This window comes from Homo sapiens, chromosome 6 (assembly GCF_000001405.40).
Source record: "Homo sapiens chromosome 6, GRCh38.p14 Primary Assembly".
NCBI lineage: Eukaryota > Metazoa > Chordata > Mammalia > Primates > Hominidae > Homo > Homo sapiens.
Window position 1 is genome coordinate 15,365,958 of NC_000006.12, and position 22,589 is coordinate 15,388,546.

The following is a 22,589-nucleotide window of genomic DNA, read 5'->3' on the forward strand; positions in this document are numbered from 1 at the left end:
TACTGTTACTTTGTTAAAAGGGAAGAAAAGGTTATTTTAGACAAAGTTGAAGTTGTACCTTTCTCATTTTCCTTCATCACCCCCAACCCCATTTTTGTTTACACTTAATCTGTGGGAAGAATCAACATTCCCTCCCAATTTTTTATTTGGTGCTTTCGTTTTTCTCTCAAAGTGTTGCTGGAACAGGTTTGGCATATCAGGCAGCCACAAGTTGTTTCAAGTAGGGTGATTTAACAGCAGGTATATGAGAAACACGTTCTGAAAATAAAAGGCATTCATGTACAGGATTCCAGTCATTTATCCTTGGGAGGAGGAAATAGCAATCAATCCTTTCCTTGTCCATGGGCCTAGTTTTTTAGAATGTTTTTTTTCATTTGCTATTCAGCTCTGTACGGCTGTTGTTCAGATCCACCATCCTTAATCCCATGATATGACATTGCATGTTGGTCCTTTGGGCATTGGAGTCAGGAAAAGCACTTCTTTTTCTTTTTGAAAGTAGCCACATCCCTCCACCTGTAGAGCTCTAGCGATCTCTATATGTGGGTGGGGGGCGGGGGGGGCGGGGGGGGTGGGGGGTGGGGTTGGCAACTCCAATTGCCATGTCTTAGCATTTCTGTGAATTTTAATAAAGAGGCTCTGTGTTAGGAGATCTTCCTGCCTGTGATCCTGAGTGCTCCTTTCCTTGGTCTCCTATGGCCCCATCAATTCGAAGGCGATTTCTGCATTTCAGTTGGTTTTAGGTACTAGGGGTTGTGAAGAGCCTTTGATGTCCTGTGCCCCTGCCCAGTGGAAGCAGGATTGTTTTTTTGCAGCACCTTCCGTAAGTGCACCTAGGTTGCCACCTTCTGCCTCTTTATCACCAGGTTGTTATTTAAAACATTGGTGGGGGGTCTGAATTCCAACTTTAGAACAGATGTGTGTCACACTTACAATCCTGCTATGTCTATGTTATATTTGTTTTATAATATTTATTGTAGTGGCTTTATTTCTTTTTGGAGATATGGTTAAAAAAAAAGTCTTTGTGTCATTGTAGGCTTTTTTTGGTTTGTTTTTAATTGATTCAGATTTCCTGGAAGGGGCCTGGTAGAGTTGGTTGACCCATGACCCAGTTTCCACGAGGTATTTCCCTGTCGTTACTACCAGTGCCCTTGATTTGGGTAATAAATGACTTGACCACTCTACCTGTGAAGCATGAGTGTCTAAGGTAGTTTGCCTGCAAGTGATAGGAAATTAACTGTCTTCCATTTTTAAATAGATGTAATTGTCAGAAAATTGATTTTTAATTGATCAGAAATGTGTTTTCCTTTAACCCATGCTTTTTCATCTTTGTTTCCTTCTCCCAAATCAAGATGGCCTGAATTTGAAACCATAATAAAAACCAAGGTATGAACAAATTGCATAACGATGGTTTGCCAATTGTAGGCTAGTAATAGAAAATTCCTTCCCCTACTCCCACTTCTATCCCCACTACTAATAATAGTTTTTTTTCATATATTGTTTACATGAAGCCTCTGCAAACCAATAATTTTAATTTTGCTTTTACCTAGGAGTCAGTGTGAGTTACATATTTAACATCTCTGGCTACTAACACATTTCTGAGTTTTGAAATTTTACTTCCTGATCTGATATCTGCCATGGACTGACTACCAATGCCACATTTGCGTCAAGACTCTGGAATTCATCTCTAGAAATAACTAAAAGTTTCACGATTACTTCGTTTCCCCCATACCTTTGACTCTAAAGGGAGAAAGCAGTGGTGTGGACCTTATACTAAAGGAAGGCTGAGCAGAGAAATCATGATTATTAAATGCAGGTGGTGCTGAGCTCACTGCCCAACTCCTGCTTCCCCAGGAGAGGTTTGCTGTTAGTACAATCATGATGGAGTTTTCAAGTCTTTCCAGTCGACTCCAAGTATCATCCTCTGGGTGGCACCCATTCTGCGAGCTTTACTGACCTGGATGTCTCTGTTTTCTTGCACTAATGTACTTGAGTCCTTTTCAGAGATTTTTGAGGGCCCATATTATTGAAGAGTTGGCTGTCACTGCAGAACACCATCCTGTAAAGGCTTTTTCTTGGTGGGTGATCCAACCAACCTTGAGACAAATTATAAGAACTCTTGGTGTAGTTAGAAACTATATCAAAACAATCTGGTTTTTAAAAGTGTGGATCATGTACCTTTTTGTCTTGTAAAGCAGTTCATTAACCTGGTCTGAATACAACTTGGTTATATTATGCACACATAGCTTTCTGTCAGTGGCCTGTACAAGGTTTTAATTTTGATGTTTTTTGTTTTTTTGTCTTTAAAATGAGTAGAGGAGAGCATCACAGGAAAATAAAATTGTATCACTGGGAGCTGTGCTTTTGGTTGGATTGGATCCTTCATTTGGTTCTTGTTTCATGGTGATGCAATACTTTTACTTACTTCCTCCCCATCCCTGCAAAGAAACAGTCACCATGGAGGATATAGTTAACTGCAAACTCATGAGATCCTGCAGTGTCATGAGACTGTGCATGGAAATAGAATTATCTTCTTGTATGTGTTGGATCTGTTCTGGAGGATTATTCACATGTAATTTGAATGTATATTTAATTCTGGTTGTTGGGTTTTAAAGAGAAGTCATCCCAAGTTGAGTAACCAAAAGAGAAGGGTTTGAGAGACCGTGTCACGTAAGGAATGATTAAAGGAACTAGCATTACTTAGTGCCATACCTTTTTGGGTGTTTTCCGCTGTGCTCTTTGATCACTGAAGAGGAGTCAAAGGAAGATTTCTCAGGGTATATTTATATAGACATCTGAATTCTGACAGTAATACTGGCCGCATGGGATGGATGTTTGAAGCATTCGTCTTGGAGGTTTCATCTTTTCTTTCTGATGTATATAGGCACAGGATGGAGTCCTATTTTGCAGAGCAGAGCTTCTGAAACTTGACCGTGTACCAGAATCATCTGGGCATCAGTGCAGATTCTGAGCCCCTAGATCTGGATGGGACCCAGGATTCTGCTTTTCTAACAGGCTGCCGAGTGGTTAAGGTACAGGTGGTCTGTCTTGGAGTTGCAACACTATGGAAGGATATGTTGAATCTCTAGCCCGGACCGTCAGCTGTGGAGAGTTGTTACATGGTGTTGTCTGATAAAAGGCATGTGATGTTATCATGTGCTTACTTTCTGAGCTCTGGTATTTTATGTGTGTATTATAGAACTTGGAACAGTGAGTGGTTCTGTTCTCCTTTTTGTCTTTTAGTAAAAAGACTCACAGTCCGGGTTAGAGATAACTTGCAATGCCAAGTTGTGGCCCACAGACCACCTGTACCTTAACCACTTGGCACAGTGTTTTTTACTAATTTTAGTAAATTTTGTAAAAAAAATTATGACCATATACAAGTTTGATTCCTGACCAATTGCTCTTTTTGATAAGAAATTCTATTATTTTCAAAAGTGGCAGTAATCCTGCAGTTTAAAAGGAGCCATCACTTCTCCTCTAAAGGGCGTATTCCTGTGTCCTCTATATTAAGCTGACCAGTAAACCAGAATGCATGGGGTGCTTGGTTTTGTGGGCCATTCCAGAGTGGGCCAAGAAGAGGTCTGCACTGTCAAACCCTGACTGATTCTACCAAGGGGCCTGAAGTGGTTTACAGAGGACAAAGGGGATAATTTGGATTTTCAGACAGTGAGGTGCTAATGGGCTATTAGTTGACTTGAACATATGATTGAGAATGAATTATTGGATCTAGAGGGTCGGGCAGGAGCATCATGAGAGATTGCTGGAAATACAGGAGAAAGAGTCTGAACAGATGTAAGTGGGGTAGGGGAAGAGTAGCTGGAATCATTGGTCAACATTTAGCAAATGGGAGTGTGACAGAGTTGTTACATGTGTAAGACCATGTGGACATCTGGACTGGCACTTTTTCTTACAGAGAACACTGCAAAGTGGCTGAGGAACGAGTGGTAGCAGCCACTGTGGAGGAAGGATGTCTCCCCTAGGACACCAGCCTCTGCTGAGAATCAGAGGTGTGGCTGAGCCCCTTGGGATTAGTCTCTGTGGGGAGTGTTTTATGAGGATAGCAGTGTGACTTCTGGCACTGGATGTTAGACACTGGCAGGGCGAGTAGGGGTAAATAAATGTCAGTGGGAACAGTGAGACTGAGCTTCGTTGAGTTTGTAATTGATTCCAGAAGTATTTATTCAGCTCTTGCTATATCAGGCATGTTTTAGGAGCTGGGATACAGTGGTGAACAAGAGTAGTGATTTCCTTGCCCCGTGGTTAAATGCCTAATTAAATAAGACAGCTATTGAGAAAATGGAAAGGAAGGTCTGTATTGGGTGTATGTATTTTGAGTTTGCTTGACCTCTAATGATAGAGTTGTATCTGGGCTGTTTTTTTTTTTTTTTTTTTTTTAAAGACTTGCTCTGTCACCCAGGCTGTAGTGTGCAGTGGCACGATCTCTGCACACGATCACTGCAAGCTCTGCCTCCCAGGTTCATGCCATTCTCCTGCCTCAGCCTCCAGAGTAGCTGGTACTACAGGCGCCCGCCACCACGCCCGGCTAATATTTTGTATTTTCTTTTAGTAGAGACAGGGTTTCACCGTGTTAGCCAGGATGGTCTCGATCTCCTGACCTTGTGATCTGCCTGCCTCGGTCTCCCAAAGTGCTGGGATTACAGGTGTGAGCCACCGCGCCCGGCCATATCTGGGCTGTTTTTTAGAGCGTTCAGTACTGGTTGATCCTGAATGAAGAATGATATAGCCACAGCAGAGTTAGCATTAAACTGGAAGGATATTTCTTCTGGCCTTCCTCTCCCCCATCTTGGATAGGTTGAGTGCAGGCACACCTTTGCTGTCTGCATCTGGGATTCTGCTAGAGGATTATAAGGTAAGGATGATTCACCATGACCCTACAGTTGAGAAAGGCAGCTTAATTGGGACTATTTGGAATTATTACCTACTGGTCTATCTCTTGTGAACAGCACTGAGTCAACTCATCTACTAGATTTGTGTCTTGCATCAGCATTGAGGGAGCAGGTGACAAGTCTCAACCAGCACTGTAGATTACAAAACACTTGTGTGTTGTGTGTGTTTTAAGTTTGAATTTTAATGTGTAGCATTTGAAACCCCATAATCTGGGTCATGGATTTGCTTCTCCTGTATTTAAAGTACTTCATAGGTGTAATGAAGCTGCTTGTGTCAGTAACTGAACCTTAAATGCGCTTCCTTTCTTGTAGTTTTCATCTCACATGGTTTATGTTTTAATTAGACATTAGTTGTAGGGGAATAATTCTCTCAACTGGAGCCTGAAGTCAGGATGAAGGCACCAGCCTGCACAGGATGCAATAAATCGTCATGGGAATTTTACATTGAAAGCTATTTTGGGGCCTTATAATTTATAAACTGTGTACATGTAGGAAATAATAGTTTATAATCTCACGTCATTGTTTGTTGTGGAGATTCGAACAGTGAGAATAGGAACCTGGTGGTGATGAAGAGAATTCTGTCTGACAGCCTTTATGAATAGACTGAGGCTGCTGAAGAGGTGGATTTCAGCCTAATAAGCATTAACTCCTCCTGCAGTTAACACTATCATTCAGTTGCAGCTAGTATATTAGGAGAGCTTTCTTGCAAACCCAGGGGAGTTGCTGTAAAGATTAATTCAGCTATATCATGCTTTTCATGTGTTGTGGTGTCAAGTCAGTTGCATTTTACTCAGGTTGGTATTTGGGTTCCTCCATTTTTCTGGTTTTTAATCATTTGATTGGGAAGGTCTCCAGTGACCTACACGCAGTAGCAGGTTAGAAATTGTGTTTCTCTTGTTAGGTTGGGGCAAGGTTTGCTGGCTTCTCTTAGCCTTCATGTCCGAACCCTGACCCCGTACCGTGGTCTGTGGATGTTTTGGCTGTCTTGGGAGAGCGGACAGGAAGACTGGATGTACCTCCTTCTTCTAGAGGCACTGCCCAGCAGTCGGAAATCTCAGCCTGGCAGGCTTCTGTGAGTGAAGGATGTGAAGGAGAAGGTGGAAATCCTAGTTCTCTCAGGACTTTCTTCCTCTTGCTGTAGAAGATGGAGAATTACTCTCATTCTAGGAAATCTGTGAAGCTTAACGAAAGTGCAGCTTAAGTTATTTAGGGCTTAGAGTCTCTATGATGTTGGATTTCTAAAATGAAGTTTGTATTTATGCAGAGTATAGGAACGTAAGTGCTGGAGGAGACGTCAGATCATCTAGACTTCTCATTGAGTCCCATGGAAGTTTTCTGTGATCCTTCAGTGTTAGGGAGGAAAAACCAATTCTTTTGTATAAACCAGTAAAACAGCACCAGACTGCCCATGAGATTTTCTGCCTTCTCCTTGAACAAAGGGAACCTGAATATCCAAAATACCCCAAATCATGATTTTACCTGGGATATTAATGTTATTATTATTATTATTTTTAGACAGAGTTTTGCTCTGTCTCCCAGGTGGGAGTGCAGTGGCGTGATCTTGGCTCACTGCAACCTCCGCCTCCCCAGGTTCAAGTGATTCTCATGCCTCAGCCTCCCCAGTAGCTGGGACTACAGGCGTGCACCACCACGCTCAGCTAATTTTTGTAGTTTTTTAGTAGAGACAGGGTTTCAACATGTTGGCCAGGTTGGTCTCAATCCCTTGTGATCCGTCCGCCTTGTCCTCTCAAAGTGCTGGGATTACAGGCATGAGCCACTGCGCCAAGCCGTTCTTCTTATTCTTTTAAGGCCCAAAGTATCTGTATGCTTCCATTTCTTATTTATTTATTTATTTTTTTTTTTGAGACTGAGTCTCACTCTGTCTCCCAGGCTGGAGTGAAGTGGCACGATCTCAGCTCACTGCCACCTTTCCCTCTAGGTTCAAGCAATTCTCGTGCCTCAGCCTCCTGAATAGCTGGGATTACAGTCGCGTGCCACCACGCCTGGCTAGTTTTTGTATTTTTAGTAGAGATGGGATTTCACCATGTTATTCAGGCTAGTCTTGAACTCCTGACCTCGTGATCTGCCCATCTTGGCCCCCAAAAGTGCTGGGATTACAGGCGTGAGGCACCATGCCAGGCCTGCTTCCATTTCTAAAATGAACTTTTATAAAATGCTTAATTAAGTCTGATGTAGGTGTGTGAACATAAGTCCTTCTTAGATTAACAGCTACAGAAGAGAACCTCTCAATATCCTTGGCCATGTGAATCATCATCTATTAATAAAAACTATAGTGACTTAATCTTGCTGATTCTTTAAACATGTATCTCTTCCTATTTACCTTGCTTTAGTGACTGTTGTCAACCATGTCTGTCTTCCCACCTCTTGCTCTGTCTCAAGTCTCTGTATAATTTTTTCTTCCCTCTTTAGTGCTTTTAAAATTTGAGTCTTTCTTTATATCTTTATGACTGGAATTGCTGGAATAGTCTCTGGGCTGGCTGTTTGTTTTTGGTCATCTCTGCATTCATTTTGTTAATTCTTAAGAACTTGTATTCGTTCTGGAGCAACAGACATGAGGTTGCCAGTTTGAAATGAGACCTTCAAGATCCATCATTAATGTGTACATTAAAACAAAAATCATGCCAGTTGTATGCCGCCAAGATCAGTTGCCTCCTTCTGCAGTACTCTCTCCTTTTATTTGTGATTCTTTTACTTAAGTGGCCAATGCGGATCCAATTCCATGTCTTCTGACTGGATTGTAAATTCCTTGAATGCACAGCACCCATATCTGCTGTATCCTTTGAGCTCCCAAGGGAGGCAGCAACATTTTTAAGAGCTCCGTACATATTTCTGTTGCAGTGTACATTCTGGCATTGCTCACTTTATAAAACTCAAGTAAAATGATCCATTATCCTTCTGGTTGTGGGTATAACAACACCTTTTTCTGAACTTTGTCAGGAATATAAAACTATTACTAGTTGATGAACGTATTTGATTTTGGGGCGTATAAAGAAGTGAGATGGTTGTGTGTTGCTTTCATTCTTTTTAACAGCCTGTGGATTCACTTTTCTTTGAGGCCTGTTCAGAAAGGTCATTGCCCCTTTACCTTATGGGTGTAATTCTGACATTGAGAACTGGGTCGTGGTCACACAGTACGTGTTCGGAAATTCCTTTAAAATAAAGTTTATTTTGACTCTGAATATTGCCTTGCTTTCTATTCAGTAACTCCTCTCTTTTCTTATGTTTCTTCAGGATGACAGTGATGGGATTCCGTGGTCAGAAGAACGGGTGGTACGTAAAGTCCTTTATTTGTCTCTGAAGGAGTTCAAGAATTCCCAGAAGAGGCAGCATGCGGAAGGCATTGCTGGGAGCCTGAAAACTGTGAATGGTGAGTTGACTCTTGGAATATCTCATTGGAATGTACAATATCTCTGGGCGTGGACTTGTTCCTGAATTGGATGTATTCTGGCAGCTTGTGCTTCCTGGTCTAGGCACCTAAAGGCAGTCTGTAGGCTAGGTGAATCTGCACTGCAGACATCCTGTTGGGTTTATAGGGTTGTTTTTGTGTTCCTTTATGTACCGCGTTATATAGTGGACAAAATACATTAGTCTGTTCTGTAGGTCCTGTCTTGCTGGTTTTTCTATATGTATGTCTTTCCACACTGGTATGTGAGCAGAACTCTTTGATGATCTTGCTGAAATGTGGAGTCTTTAGTTCTTGTCCCCGGGTTGTATAGGAAATAGCCTAAATCTTTCTGTCTACTGCTTTTCCTGCTCTCTGGCTCAGCGGCTTTCTCATCTCTCCTTCCTTCCTTGCTGGGCAGGTTCCTGCAGTGGGACAGCTTTGCATACCTCTAGAAGTGTGCTTCTTCCTGGATGATTATCACTTGGCTCCTTGATGCCTGGAAAGAAACTTGTTCCTATATGAGTTTGTTCTCATGTCTGTTTTGAACAGGGTTCATATGGTGCAGATGAAGTCATCCAACAGAAAGTATCTGAGGACAAACATTTGCTTGTAGTTTACTATTTTATTTCAGGGGAATGCAGTGACATTCTATAATCCCCTGTGTACTTATCAGGATTACAGTTAAAGTGAATGAATTGACCATGTTTTTGTTTATGCTTCCTTGGGGCAAGGAGATGAGAAAGAGCAGGTTCTGTTCTTTTTTGAGAGCTATGGCTCTGGTCTTAGGAGAGTCACCACATATGGGGTACTTGACAGTTTGTTAGGGTGCCAAAGGACAGGTTCACCATGGCTTCCAATTTGTTTCCCACCACCTTAGTTGTATGGTGAGTTGTCTGGCAGCCTCCTGTTGGAACTAGTGTTCACAGGCACTAGTGCACAGCAGTACCTGTTGCTGCTCTGTTTCTATGGGGCAATGGCAGAGTTTCCTGAGATGACCTCTCTGAACTTCACCATTCACCCTAGTTGTGCTGTCTCCTTCCACTGTTGCGTGACTTGAAAGAAGAGCCTCTGTCCACCCTCCCGGGTTTTCTTTCTTATGGGTGACTTGCCTTTGGAGGTCAACCATTAAGGCCATAGTGGCTCAGTCATGTGTGCGTCTCTCAACAAATCTCAGCCAACATGTATGGGAAAGGCCCATTTTGAGTCTTAACATTTGCAGAAAACAAAATAAGTTGTGGAATCTATTGCCATAGAATCCAATTTAGACCCTCATAGCTGCTTTCCTAAAAGGCACTCTGCCTTGTTCTGTGGGTCTCCAGCAGAGAGGGACCCTAGCCATTCGTTGCTTGTAATACAGTAAACTAAAAACCTTGTGTGTAGTTGGAGAACATTTGATGTGATATAGATCGTGTTTATTGTCATTGATTCACGTTGAACGTAGCATCTTGCTTGATTAAATGTGGGGGGTTGGGTATGAAGGAGAATATCACTTAATCCTAGAGTTTAGAGTGGAGCAGTGACTGCTGTACTGTTAGATTGTATGGTTGTGATGCTCTCACTGTACTGTTCAGGAATGGTGTAATGCCTTAGTGTTTCTTGGCATTGCCAACAGTGGAAACAAAAACACCCATATTTTCTTAACTGGGAAACACCAGCTTTTAGAACAAGAAGTTAGCCAGATGTTCAGGATTTAATAAAGGTAGAATTTGAGTAAATGAACAAAAACTAAAGTTTGTCATTCCAGAAGCAACCAGTGCTGTCAGCCAGTTGGCCAAATGTAGGTTTAGCTCTGGCAGAGTCAAGGGATTGATGATACTGAGGAGAAAAATCTCAGTTGGCAAAGATGCCCACATTGGGATCACTGAAGTCTTTTTATTTATTCTGGCACTACCTTCATAAGGGAAGGTTAGTTTTTGTCATGGTAGTTTGCTTTTCATCCAGATAAAGACTTTTAAGTCTTTTAAAAAATACAGAGACACCTCGGCTTCTCTTTGGGTTGTGAAATTGCTGTGAATATGCCATTTTCTAGTTTGTGTTGGTTTTTATGAAGGCAGCGTTCCAAGGTTACCTTTTTGTTATTCTGTATGTGGGATTTCTATAGCAGTTCTGAGTAAACAGATCTCCTTGTTTCAGGACTTGAGTGTGCTTTAAGAATCATTATTTTGCTTGGTGCGGTGGTTCATGCCTGTAATCCCAGCACCTTGAAAGGCCGAGGAGGGAGGATTGCTGGAGCCCAGGAGTTCGAGACCAGCTTGGGCAACAAACTACAACCCTGTCTTTCCAAATAATAGTAATAATAATAAATTAGCCAGGCATGGTGGCACATGCCTCTGGTCCCAGCTAGTCAAGAGGCTGAGACAGGAGGATCACTTGAACCCAGGAGGTCAAGGCTGCATTGAGCTATGTTCACACCACTGTATTCCAGCTTGGGCAACAGAGCGAGACTCTCTCTTTAAAAAATCATTATTTTCAAGGCAGCTACCATCTTAAACAAAGTGTACTTTCTTATTTTGGGGAGCTACTTGGAATCACTGGAAAACAGAATTGGTATCATGGGAAGAGCTCCTCTTCTGTAGGTGTTTTCGGAGCATGATCCAGAGAAAGCTCACACAGTAGGGAGCAACCAAGACTTTAGGGCTGGTGAGGCTAGGAGTAGGGGTTGTTGTAACTGCAAGCTGTGTTGTGCATATATATGTGGACGTGTCTGTGTGTCTTTGTGTATATATGCGTGTATGTATATGCATGCTTTGCTGAAAAATCCCTTTAGTTTGAGTGGATACTTTATAGTCAGCCATCACTCATGTCCTATCTCATAGAAACACTTCCTAAATGTCAAATGAAATCAGAAGATAGGTTAGTGGGAGTGGAAGCAGGGTGTATTAGTTTGTTTTCATACTGCTGATAAAGGCATATTGGAGACTGGGAAGAAAAAGTGGTTTAATTGGACTTACAGTTCCTCATGCCTGGGGAGGCCTCAGAGTCATGGAGGGAGGTGAAAAGCACCTGTTATATGGCAGTGGCAAGAGAAAATGAGATTTCGTGAGACTTACTCACTATCACAAGAATAGCACGGGAAAGGCCAGCCCCCATGATTCAATTACCTCCTCCTGGGTCCCTCCCACAACATGTGGGAATGCTGGGAGATACAATTCAAGTTGAGATTTGGGTGGGGACACAGCCAAACCATATCACAGCGGATTGACTATAATGGTGGTGGTTTTTTGTGAGCCTGTCACCCAGGCTGGAGTGTAATGGCATGATCTTGGCTCACTGCAACCCCCACCTCCCGGGTTCAAGCGATTATCCTGTCTCAGCCTCCCAAGTAGCTGCGATTACAGGCATGCACCACCACACCTGGGCAACAAATTGAGACCCTGTCTTTACAAATTATAGTAATAATAATAAATTAGCCAGGCATGGTGGCACTTTTTTTTTTTATCTTTAGTAGGGATGGGGTTTCACCATGTTGGCCATGCTGGTCTGAAACTCCTGACGTTGTGATCTACCTGCTTCGGCCTCCCAAAGTGCTGGGATTATGGGTGTGAGCCACCTGTCCCGAGCCAGGATGGATAAGTCCATGCAAGATGTATGTTTTTTTTTCAATTTTTTTTCTTCTTCTTTTTTTTTTTTCTTTGAGATGGAGTTTCCCTCTGTTGCCTGGCTGGAGTACAGTGGCGCTATCTCTGCTCACTGCAGCCTCTGCCTCCGGGTTCAAGTGATTGTCCTGCCTCAGCCCCCAGAGTAGCTGGGATTACAGACACGCGCCACCACACCCAGCTAATTTTTTTGTGTATTTTTAGTAGAGGCGGGGTTTCACCATGTTGACCAGGAAGGTCTCCATCCCTTGACCTTGTGATCCGCCCACCTCAGCCTCCCAAAGTGCTGGGATTACAGGGGTGAGCCACCCCACCCGGCCCTCAATTTTTAATTTTTTTTTTTTTTTTGGTTAGTTCCCAACCCAAAAGATTCCTTTTCAAATGTCAAAATGTTTCCACTGGTTCATTAATTTTTAATTGTCACAGAAATTTGTCTGGTGGTAGAGTTGTAAGATTGTCCAGTCCAGAGCCATTGCTAGGAGGTGACATATGCTGTGCAAGCAAGGATGAGAACATGTGCCTTAACCCCAGAGAAGGGTGGGTGGTGGTGGAGCTTCTGCCTCTGTGTCCTCTTTCATGCCTTCGAGGTTGGGGACAGTGACATGCCTCTGAGAGCCCTGGCACTCAGAGACTCTCAGAGATCTGTAAACTGAAAGACCCATCTAACTATGGGGCCTTTATGACTGTTAGATGTGGTAGTGACTTTCTTAAAGTCAAACAGGTATTTAATTCACAGTAGCAGAATTGGAATTGCAGCTCAAGTCCTGTAACTTTGAATCCAGTACTTTTTTGCAAGACAGAATGCATGAAAACTACATTGGATCTTTGCAATAGGAATATTGAAAAGAAGATGTTTTGTTTTTTCCCATTTCCAGCGTTGTTTCTGGATCTTTGATTATTGGAAAATATAAATGGATGATTGGAGGCTTTCCTGGGAAAAATCATTTGTTTTTACCATAATATTTAAAAATAACAGCAGAATGGATTTTACAGAATTTTTATCTAATTTGAAAATAAAATACATGTGACATCTCCTGAATCATTGGCATCCTGGTGTGATGAACAAGCAGCCCTTTGCCCTTCATCTGTGTGAAGGGGGTCGGGTATCTGATGCCTGGGAACAGTGTGTGGACACTGCAGCTTGTATCTGAGCAGTGAGCTCAGCTGCCCTGGTTCTGTAGGTCTGTGAGTAGTAATAACCTAAGCAGACATAAGATAGTGGAGACACGTCGTTTTTCATGTCATAAAATCCATGTTTGCTATCAGTCTTGTTTTTGTGGTTTTACAGTGACAAGGAATGAATTTTTTTTTTTTTGGCCCTACTATTGGTAGGATATGTGAGTTTTGAACAGCCTCATGAGTTGTCTGTGTAGCAACTGATGCCATCGTTACAGCTTGTTGGTTATTGCTGGGCTTAAGCGTGAAGTGGTAAGATTTGCTGATTGTGAGCCTTCTGTCTACTTTTTGTTGTAGATAATGCCACTTTTCATGGATGTAATAAATTGACAAAAGCTTTGGAAAGGACTGGCAGAGGCTGAGACCTTGGCCACTCTTTGAGGGCCCTTGGCCTGCTGAGGCTAAAATTAGGGACATTTAAATAATAACATGCTACACAAATAATGAGTACACAGAATTACACAGTCAGAGAGGGAAGCTATTAACTGTATTTGAATTTCATTTGCTTCCTATAAATGTCATCTTAGATCAAGTCCTTTGGCCAGCAAAACACTCTTGATGAGATTTAAGGGACCCTGGATTCATTTCCTTAAACTTACCCCGGGCAGTAGTTGTGATGGCTAGCCTACCTTGAGTTCTCACTATTTGCCAGTTATTGTTCTAGTACTTTAGCTGTATTTAACTCATTTAATCTTCAGAACAAGCAATTTTATAGGTGAGGAAACTATATACTAAGAGTGGATTAGCAATTTGCCTACCCAGCTATTAAGTGGAAGCATGAGGATATAAGACCAGGCCTTTTGGATCAGACCTCCCATGCTTTCTGGATTAGAGCTCCCAAGCTTGTAGCCACCACTTAGATAAGGAGAGGTAATTTTGGAGCCTTTCATAAAGATAGCATTCCAAAAATAAGAATTTGTAGGAAGACTTTACTTTTTTTAAGTAGGTATTTATTTGGAAGGAGGTAAGTGGATTTTTTTTTTTTTTGGTCGGGGGCCGGGGGTGAGGGGATGGAGTCTTGCTTGCTCTGTTGCCCAGGCTGGAGTGTAATGGCGCAATCTCTGCCCACTGCAACCTCAGCCTCCTGGGTTCAAGTGATTCTCCCACCTCAGTCTCCCGAGTAGCTGGGATTACAGGCATGTGCCACCATGCCTGGCTAACTTTTATATTTTAGTAGAGAGAGGGTTTCACCATGTTGGCCAGGCTGGTCTCAAACTCCTGACCTGAGGTGATCTGCCCACGTCGGCTTCCCCAAGTGCTGAGATTACAAGCGTGAGCCACCGTGCCTGGCCGTCAGTAAGTGAATTTTTTATTGGGAAAAAGAACCTTGGAAGGCATGGTAAGTATTTATTGACTGTGTTTCTGGGCTTTATTTATGATTTGTAATTGAATTGATAGAGGGTATCAAAAATGTAGACTGTGAATTGGTTTCCTCCTCTCTTCAGTCAGACACACAGATGCATCCGTTAGTTTCCATTTCCTCACTTAGAGTTTTGTGTTTTTAATGCTGTTGTCGTTCTGGCTGGCTGGAACTCACTGGACGGATGGTGCATGGATGTTTTGGCAACAGCTGCCAATTTGTAGCCAAGGACCAGTATTGGAAGCGCAGATGTGGGACATTGTGTAGCCAACACCCCCCAAGCCCCCTTTAAGAAATATAATTTTGAACTCCTTTCAGAATCTTTCAGTCATTTCCAAAGATTCTTGATGTGTGTGGAATGAAATGTGGGCCCGACTGTGAATTCATTGTTAACAAAATATGTTCACACAAGTCATAAAAACGTATTTGTGAATCAAAATAAAAAAATGTCAGGTCACATGGTCTGATTTACGTAAGTTTATTTGTGGGCCATATTTGAAATGAATGTCTGGGGTATAAAGTGACCTTCCTCTACGAAGGGGAACACCTGTCCCTTCTGTTTTTGCTGGAAACTTTCAGGTCTAGCTGTACTAGAGATGGTGCCTACTTTATCATTATCATTTATTATTATTTATTATTATTATTTTCTTCTGAAGACAGTGGCTTATGGGCCGGGCGCGGTGGCTCACACCTGTAATCCCAGCACTTTGGGGGGCCGAGGCGGGTGGATCACGAGGTCAGGAGATTGAGACCATCCTGGCTAACATGGTGAAACCCTGTCTCTACTAAAAATACAAAAAAAAAAAATTAGCCGGGCGTGGTGGCGGGTGCCTGTAGGCTGAGGCAGGAGAATGGCGTGAACCTGGGATGCGGAGCTTGCAGTGAGCCAGATCGTGCCACTGCAATCCAGCTGGGGCGACAGAGGGAGACTCCTGTCTCAAAAAAAAAAAAAAAAAAAAAAGTGGCTTATGCTTCAGCTTTACCGAAGTGTTGATGTCTGTGTGCTAGTCTCCTCCTCTGCAAGCTGTAGGGAGACCAGTTGCAGCTTGAGTTTTCTCTAACACTCCTGTGTCCTGGCCTCCAGACTTTTTTCTTTCCCTCTCCTGTTTCCCCTGATGTGAGGACACACTCTGCATGAAAGAAAGCTGGGTGAAATGAAGGGCTTCAATGTTGTTGAAAACAACTTATTTTTTGTTTACAAAGGAAGCTACATTTGTTGTGGAAAGGCGAGAAGGCTTGGGCTCTTTGTCTTTCAGCTGCTTTTTTGATGTAGTGATGTAGGTGGGGCATTTCTCAGATTTTCATTTTGTAAGTGTTGGAGTTTTTATTATGTGGGAGGCATTGTGGGTATAAAAACTGAGATCAAGTTGCTTACTTTGGTCAAGTCCTAATACCTTATTTCATCCCTTCTAAGATGTCATTGAGTGATGCACCATTATGTTATGTATCAGTAAGCAAGAACAAAACAGTGCTTCCAATGATGAATGTGGGACAGCTTAATTATGAGATGCATGTTTTAACATGAGAAAAATAGATGCAACTTAAAATCTGTGAAGCAGGATAAAATACTGTAGGATAAATGCTTTAACAACCAAATGGGGCTGGGTACTGTGGCTCACGCCTGTAATCCCAGCACTTTGGGAGGCCGAGGCGGGCGGATCATGAGCCTGGCCAACATAGTGAAACCCCGTCTCCACTAAAAATACAAAAATTAGCCAGTCATGGTGGCGCACGCCTGTACTCCCAGCTACTCAGGAGGTTGAAGCAGGAGAATTGCTGGAACCCAGGAGGCAGAGGTTGTGGTGAGCCAAGATCGCACCACTGCACTCCAGCCTAGGCAACAGAGTGAGACTTTCTCAAAAAACAGAACCAAAAACCCCAAACGAGTGTATGGGTGAGTGCAGGAGGCTAGCAGGGAGGCAGATGATGTCAGAGACCCAGTCCTAAGATACAGGAAACGTTGTATATCCATGAGCCTTGCAAAGGGGTCTTGAAAGATGCGAGAGATTTCTGAGCAAGACCTTGGGGTGGCAGGGGTCAGCAAATATTTGACTGGTCTGTTGGTGTCATAATCTAGTGGGACAAATGGCTGCAATGGCCGGTTTCCGTGGCCAAGTCACTTGTACTGGTCTGATGCCAAAGGAGTGGTGTGCAAAATTAAGGACTGCTAGAGCAGGAAGAGTCTTTTTAGAGGTATATAGGTCAAACTCATCATTTTACAGATGAGGAATTTTGAGCCTTGATGAGAAACTTAACTGGAAGGAATGGATCATGCTGAAGCCTGATTGGAACCAGAAATCCAATTTAAGTGACAGTGAGGCGCCACGCTTCCTAGTAGGCATGGCTGCTTGCACGCATTTCCTGGAGCGTTAAGAATGGAGGTGCCTGAGGAGGTTAATGTGCTCCTCTTTCGGGTCACTTTGTGCTTGACACCCACTGCCCCTCTCTTTCTCTCTGCCCGCCTCCTTTGTCAGTTCTGTGAGCTGGGCTCTGTTTCCCTGATTACATCATCATTCCCATCCAATCCTGGACGACTTTAGGAGGGACACAGCACTCAGGTAGTGTCACCTGGGTAGTGGAGTCTGTATGTGTAGGGCTATAGGGCGGAGGAGGTGGTCTGTGTAGGGAGACAGAAGGGAGGGAGAGCAGTCTGAGCTCTAGTTGGGCCTGTTTGCTACAGCCTATTTGCTTTTGCCAGTTTTTATAGGAGTTCAGTTTCAAAGAAGTGGGGAAGGCAAATGGATGGAAATTTGTTGTAGTCTAGAATTTTTTTTTTTTTCTTTGAAACAGGGTCTTGCATGTTGCCCAGGCTGGCCTCAAACCCCTGGGCTTAAGCAGTCTTCCCACCTCACCTTCTGAGACACTGGGACTACTGGCATGTATCATCATGCCCAGGTTGGGATTTTTTTTTTTTTTTAAGCTGAAGCTCTTTCTATAAGGGTCTCTCTAGTTTCTTTGCGGATGAAATTAATAACTCCCCCTCCATGACATCACACTGGAAATTATCCCTCCTTCATCATTTACCTCTCTTTACTGGTTCATTCCCACCATTGTAGAAACATGTTCTTATTTTTCCCATAATAAAGTAAAGCCTCCCTTGTTCTTGCATCTCCTGCCTGCTGTATCTTTCTCTTAGTTTATAGCAAAATCCCCCATAAGAAAATGTCTAAAAGGTTTGTCTCCATGCCCTTCTATTTATATTCATATTAATATCCCCCAGCCTTCCTTTGCCATTCACCTTTAAACCCCTCACGTTGGGCCACTTATCAAGGTCAGTAATGATTGCCCAAGCCACATTTCCATTATTCTGGGGTGTAATTGCCCATTTAGCAGCATTTACCGTGATTGAACATCTCCTGAACACCACCTGCCTGCTTGACTGCTGCATTTTGATTTTATTATTTTATTTTTTGAGATGGAGTTTCGCTCTTGTCCAGGCTGGAGTGCAATGGCACGACCTTGGCTCACTGCACCCTCCGCCTCTCAGGTTCAAGCAATTCTCCTGCCTCAGCCTCCTGAGTAGCTGGGATTACAGGCATGCGCCAAGACGCCCGGCTAATTTTGTATTTTTAGTAGAGATGGAGTTTCTCCGTGTTGGTCAGGCTGGTCTCGAACTCCTGACCCCAGGTAATCTGCTTGCCTCTGCCTCCCAAAGTGCTGGGATTATAGGCGTGAGCCACCGTGCCCAACCTATTTTTTTATTTTTATTTTTTAGAGATAGGATTTTCTTCTGTGGGCCAGGCCCAAGTGCACTGGGTCGACCACAGCTCATTGCAGCCTCGACTCTCAGGCTCATACCTTAGCCTCCTGAGTAGCTTGGACCACAGGTGGGTGCCACCACGCCCGGCTAATTTTTAAATTATTTGTAGAGATGGGGTCTCCCTGTGTTGTCCAGGGTGATCTTGAACTCCTGGGCTTAGCTGTTCCTTCGAAAGTCAAGTTTAAGCCACTGTGCCTGGCCCACTTTGATTTTTTTTTTTTTTTTTGGATAGGCCTCATGAAGTTAAGATGTCCCAAAGCCAACTATCTGTGAGGTCTCTCATCTGCTTCTGTTGTCCGCTTGCCCCTTCTTCCCTTTTTCAATAAGTGGCAGTTCCTTTGTTCTAGTTTTGGTGGCCAAAACCTTGGAGTCATCTGTTACTTCTTTTTTCAGATTTTTGCATTTAGCTTTAGCTAACCTGTTTTACTATTTATTTATTTATTTAGAGACAGTGTCTTGCTATGTTGCCTAGGCTGGAGTGCAGTGGGGGCTATCACATCTCACTGCAGCCTGGGCTCCTTCCCCATTTAACATCCCGCCCCAACCCCCCGAACTCAAGTTGCTGGGACTTCAGGCATGTGCCATCATGTCCAGCAAATAGACACAGTGTTGCCCATGCTGGTCTCGAACTGCCGGGCTTAAGTGATCCTCTTTCCTGCCTTGGCCTCCCAGAGTGTTAGAATTACAGGTGTGAGCCACTTCACTAGTCCTTAGTGAACCTGTTTGAAACTCACAGTACCTTTTGATTCTGAACTTGTACTACTGCTCCTGTTCCACGTTGTCATACTTTCTAGCTTAGGTTATGTTGCAGCCTCCCTGTGCTCGCTCAGCTTCTGCCTTTGTATTCCTCCTGGCAGCAGCCAGCATAAACCTTTAAAAATGCAAATGAGGCTGTGCTATGCTCTGTTCTGATTCTGGCATATCTGCCTATGCTCTTAATGTGAAAGCGAAATATCCTCATGGCTGGCCACTTGATTGGGCCCCCGTATCACTCTGTTCTCATTGTCTCTGTCCCTCTTCCTGGTATTTTAAATACACAAAGCATACTCTGTTTAGCTCTAGCTGATCCTTCTATTGAGAATTCTCTCCCTTCTGGTATCTATGTGACTTGATCTCTCTGTATGTTTCAGGTTCCCCTTTAAGTGCCCCCATACCCTGGAATGTTCCTTGAACATTCTAGTAAAAAGGGTACCTGCCTCTGTTACTCCTTAGCGCTTTACCTTATGAAGTCTGTCTGCACAGCATTTCTCACTGCCTGACATTGTAGTACTGTGAGGGAGGGACATGTGCGTGCGTTTATTCTAATTTATTTATTTATATAGATTTTTTAATAGATTTTTTAAGATATAGTTTTTTATAGATATTATTTTATAGATATTTATTATTTATATAGATAATTATCTAATGTGTCTAGCCACATTAGATTGTAAGCGCTTTGAGAGGAAAATTCATTTGTGTTGACTGCTGCTTTTCCCTGTGCCTGGGATCTCCGAAGTCTGTGTTGTGTGAATGAGCATGCAGACGGCTCAGTGGCCCACCTGCATGCCACCCACGTCTCTGCCGCCCCCTTTCCAGCACCTCTTGTTGCCATGCTGTGGATGTGCCACTCTCTGTTCAGGGGACTGAGAGTCTGCCAACTGGGACTCCAGATTTCATTTTAGAAATGCTCACACCGTGACACCCTAGGCCCCCAGATGTCAGCTCATCTTATTTTCCCCATTGCCAGAGGGAATGTGCATTCATAATTGTGTGATATGTCTCACTATCATAGAGATTCTTGGAATAGGGTCAGCCTTGTGTCCTTTCTTTCTGAACCACATTCATCGCATCCCTGTTTAGGTACAAGGTATGTTGCTTGGTGGTTTAAATTACAATTGGGCTTTTAAGAAAAAGTAAAAAAATTATGTCTCTTAATTCTCAATTGATGATTTTTGTACTTTTACTAATATTTTTGGGGTTAATTTAATGGGCCTTAGGTGTTAAGCAGCTTGTACAAGGCCACCTAGCAGAGAAGTGGTCAAATCAGGGTTTGAGCCCAGGTCTTCTGACTCCAGATAGCTATCTCTCCCTCTCCCCCACCCCTCTCCCTCTCCCTGTTCTTCTCCCCCTTCCTTTCCCCCTCTCTCTCCCTCTCTCTACTTCTGTGTGGGTGTGTGTGTATGTGTGTGTTTAAACTAAGGAAAGCCTGTGAAACCACATATCTCCAGTATGTCTTGTTGTGACAAGTGTACACATATAACCAAGTGAGCAACACTCCAGTGTAGATAAAATACCTTCCTATCACGCTGAAAAGGTTCCTCCTTCTCCCTTCAGTACAGTTGACATGTTTGTTTGTTTGTTTGTTTAGAGACAGAGTCTTGGTCTGCCACCCAGGCTGGAGGGCGTTATAACCTCAAGATCTGGCCTCAGGTGATCCCCCCTCCTACTGGCATTACAGGCGTGAGCCACTTCGCCTGGCCGGTTGAGTTCTTTAAATGTATTTGCTCATTGTGGAGTTCCTCAACACCACTGCCTGTATTTTTAAGAGCTGTTATGCTTATCGATGGGTTTATGATGTTTGTCCAGAATGTGCCGAATGTCTGAGAGTGTTGGGGACTGAAAGTGCCTCAAGGCCAGAGGCCCATGTGCATCCCCTTAGCAGCTCCAGAAGTGGCTTATGTAGGCACAGTGTTGGAATAAGAACCCTGCGATTGGAAAGATGATGACATTCTCAGAGTCAGACTGTCTCTTAAACTGGCATCATGGTTTTTGTTCTGAACTGTTGTGTAAACTCAGAGCAGATGGGCTTTGGAGGAGGCTTCATTCTGACTGTCTTCAGTGTCACCTTTCTCGTATAGCACATTAGCCACCACTGTTTTTAATCTGTGAGTATTCGGAATACTCAGCCTGGGTGTGTATTAATGTTAATAATTAAAAATTCTGGAGCTAGGGTCCCAGACTTGGCTTTTTTCCCCAGAGGCACTCTATAGAGACATCTGTAGGTCATGTCTTTTGCTAGTGCGGTGTCTTTAGTTAGACTGAATCCTGTGAGGAGCCCATGATCTCCTTGTCGCCCTTGAGGATGCCAAGACAGTGTGCGTGTGCCTGTGGTGGGATAGGATTGCTAATCATATTCTTGCGGCTGTGGTGAAAGTCTGTATATTAGTCAGCTCAGGCTGCCATAATAAATTACCTTAGACTGGGCTGCTGATATAATAGAAATTTCCATTTCTCACAGTTCTGGTGTCTGTAAGTCCAAGATCAAGGTGCAGGCCAGCTGGGTTCCTGTTGAGTGCCCTCTTCTTGGCTGGTTCCTCTGAGTCTTCCTCCTCATGCGAGGACTCCAGCCCTCTCAGGTCAGAGCCCTGTGCCCCTATGACCTTATTTACCCTCGATCACCTTCTCATGGACCTTAGGGGTTAGAGCTTCAACAGAAGACTTTGTGGGGAGTACATTACAGTCTCTGCAGGCCTTGGACATGGTGACAATTTTATTCCAGTCTAACTGTAGATTAAATTAAACTCCATGTTAATCTGCAGCATGTTTTCTTTCTTGCTTGTGTGATACTAGAACATTTTCCTGGTAAGTCAGGAAACCCTTAGAGCTGTTTGACCTTTGAGAAGCCTGGATGGAGTAACTGCTTTTGACAGGGGGATGGCAGTTGTGATGGTCCTGGGAGGATGTTTCTGTTGTCATAGATTATTTGGGGAAGCATTGTGGAATTATTTGAGGACTTCTGAGGTCGAGGGAATCCTATCTGTTTAACAGTAATTCATCTTATCTACCTTTTGTGACTCCCAGCCATTTTTTATTCTTGACGTGTAATAGAATAGAAAGACCCTGCAGGGTCACCAGATAGGGCTTCCTACAGCCAGAGGTGACTTGTTTGTGAATAGGATTTATTGACGTTCTTTCTTATAGAGTGATATTGTTCCCTGCTAGAGAAAGGCTTCATGTGTTTTCTAAATCTTCGAATTCTGTGATATGTGTATTTAAGTAGCTTTAATTACTATCAGATTTATTGTAATGGACTAGGGTAGTTTTGCTGTGCTTGTGAATGTCTTAGATCTGATTTCCCTCAAATTTAGAGGGCCCTTTACTTAGCTTTTGGAAATAACCTGTTATTACTTGAGCCACTTTAAATGTTTAGAGTCCTGTATGGTATATCTTTAAAAGCCAGAAGAGTGATTACTAGATATGCTTCTGGGAAATTACCCTACAGTTCATAAATCCCTTAATTTACAATTTGATTTTTAAGCTCACCTGCTGCCAAATCTCATCTATCCTTTTAGCTTCCTCTATAGGCTTTAAAATGTTTCTGTAGAGTCCCAGATTTAGCTTCTTCATAATTTCTTTCCCAAGGATGATAAAAACAGTACAAGTCTATCGTTCAAGGAGGTGTGGG

The 22,589-nt window shown here is 43.1% G+C and overlaps 1 protein-coding gene across 16 annotated transcripts in view, besides 3 other annotated features; it reads left to right on the plus strand.

Annotated features, from left to right (window-relative positions):
* Positions 1-22,589, plus strand: part of JARID2 (jumonji and AT-rich interaction domain containing 2) — a 275,974-nt gene that overhangs the window by 119,889 nt on the left and 133,496 nt on the right. For 14 of the 16 annotated variants that reach the window (XM_011514579.4, XM_017010833.3, XM_047418735.1 and 11 more), the window contains one exon: positions 8,160-8,295. In XM_011514579.4, coding sequence (XP_011512881.1) covers positions 8,160-8,295 — 136 coding nt within the window. Of the gene's footprint in view, positions 1-8,159; positions 8,296-22,589 lie in introns of those variants that run through there. The other 2 variants (XM_047418743.1, XM_017010835.3) reach the window with 2 other exon arrangements.
* Positions 19,292-20,052: an enhancer, noted in NCBI's record as "H3K4me1 hESC enhancer chr6:15385480-15386240 (GRCh37/hg19 assembly coordinates)". NCBI's record gives its function as "activates a minimal SCP1, AML or CMV promoter by ChIP-STARR-seq in naive and primed H9 embryonic stem cells {active_cell/tissue: H9 hESC(naive and primed)}" and the evidence as "EXISTENCE:reporter gene assay evidence [ECO:0000049][PMID:30033119]".
* Positions 21,444-21,523: an enhancer, noted in NCBI's record as "active region_24078". NCBI's record gives its function as "activates an Ori minimal core promoter by ATAC-STARR-seq in GM12878 lymphoblastoid cells {active_cell/tissue: GM12878}" and the evidence as "EXISTENCE:reporter gene assay evidence [ECO:0000049][PMID:35858748]".
* Positions 21,534-21,643: an enhancer, noted in NCBI's record as "active region_24079". NCBI's record gives its function as "activates an Ori minimal core promoter by ATAC-STARR-seq in GM12878 lymphoblastoid cells {active_cell/tissue: GM12878}" and the evidence as "EXISTENCE:reporter gene assay evidence [ECO:0000049][PMID:35858748]".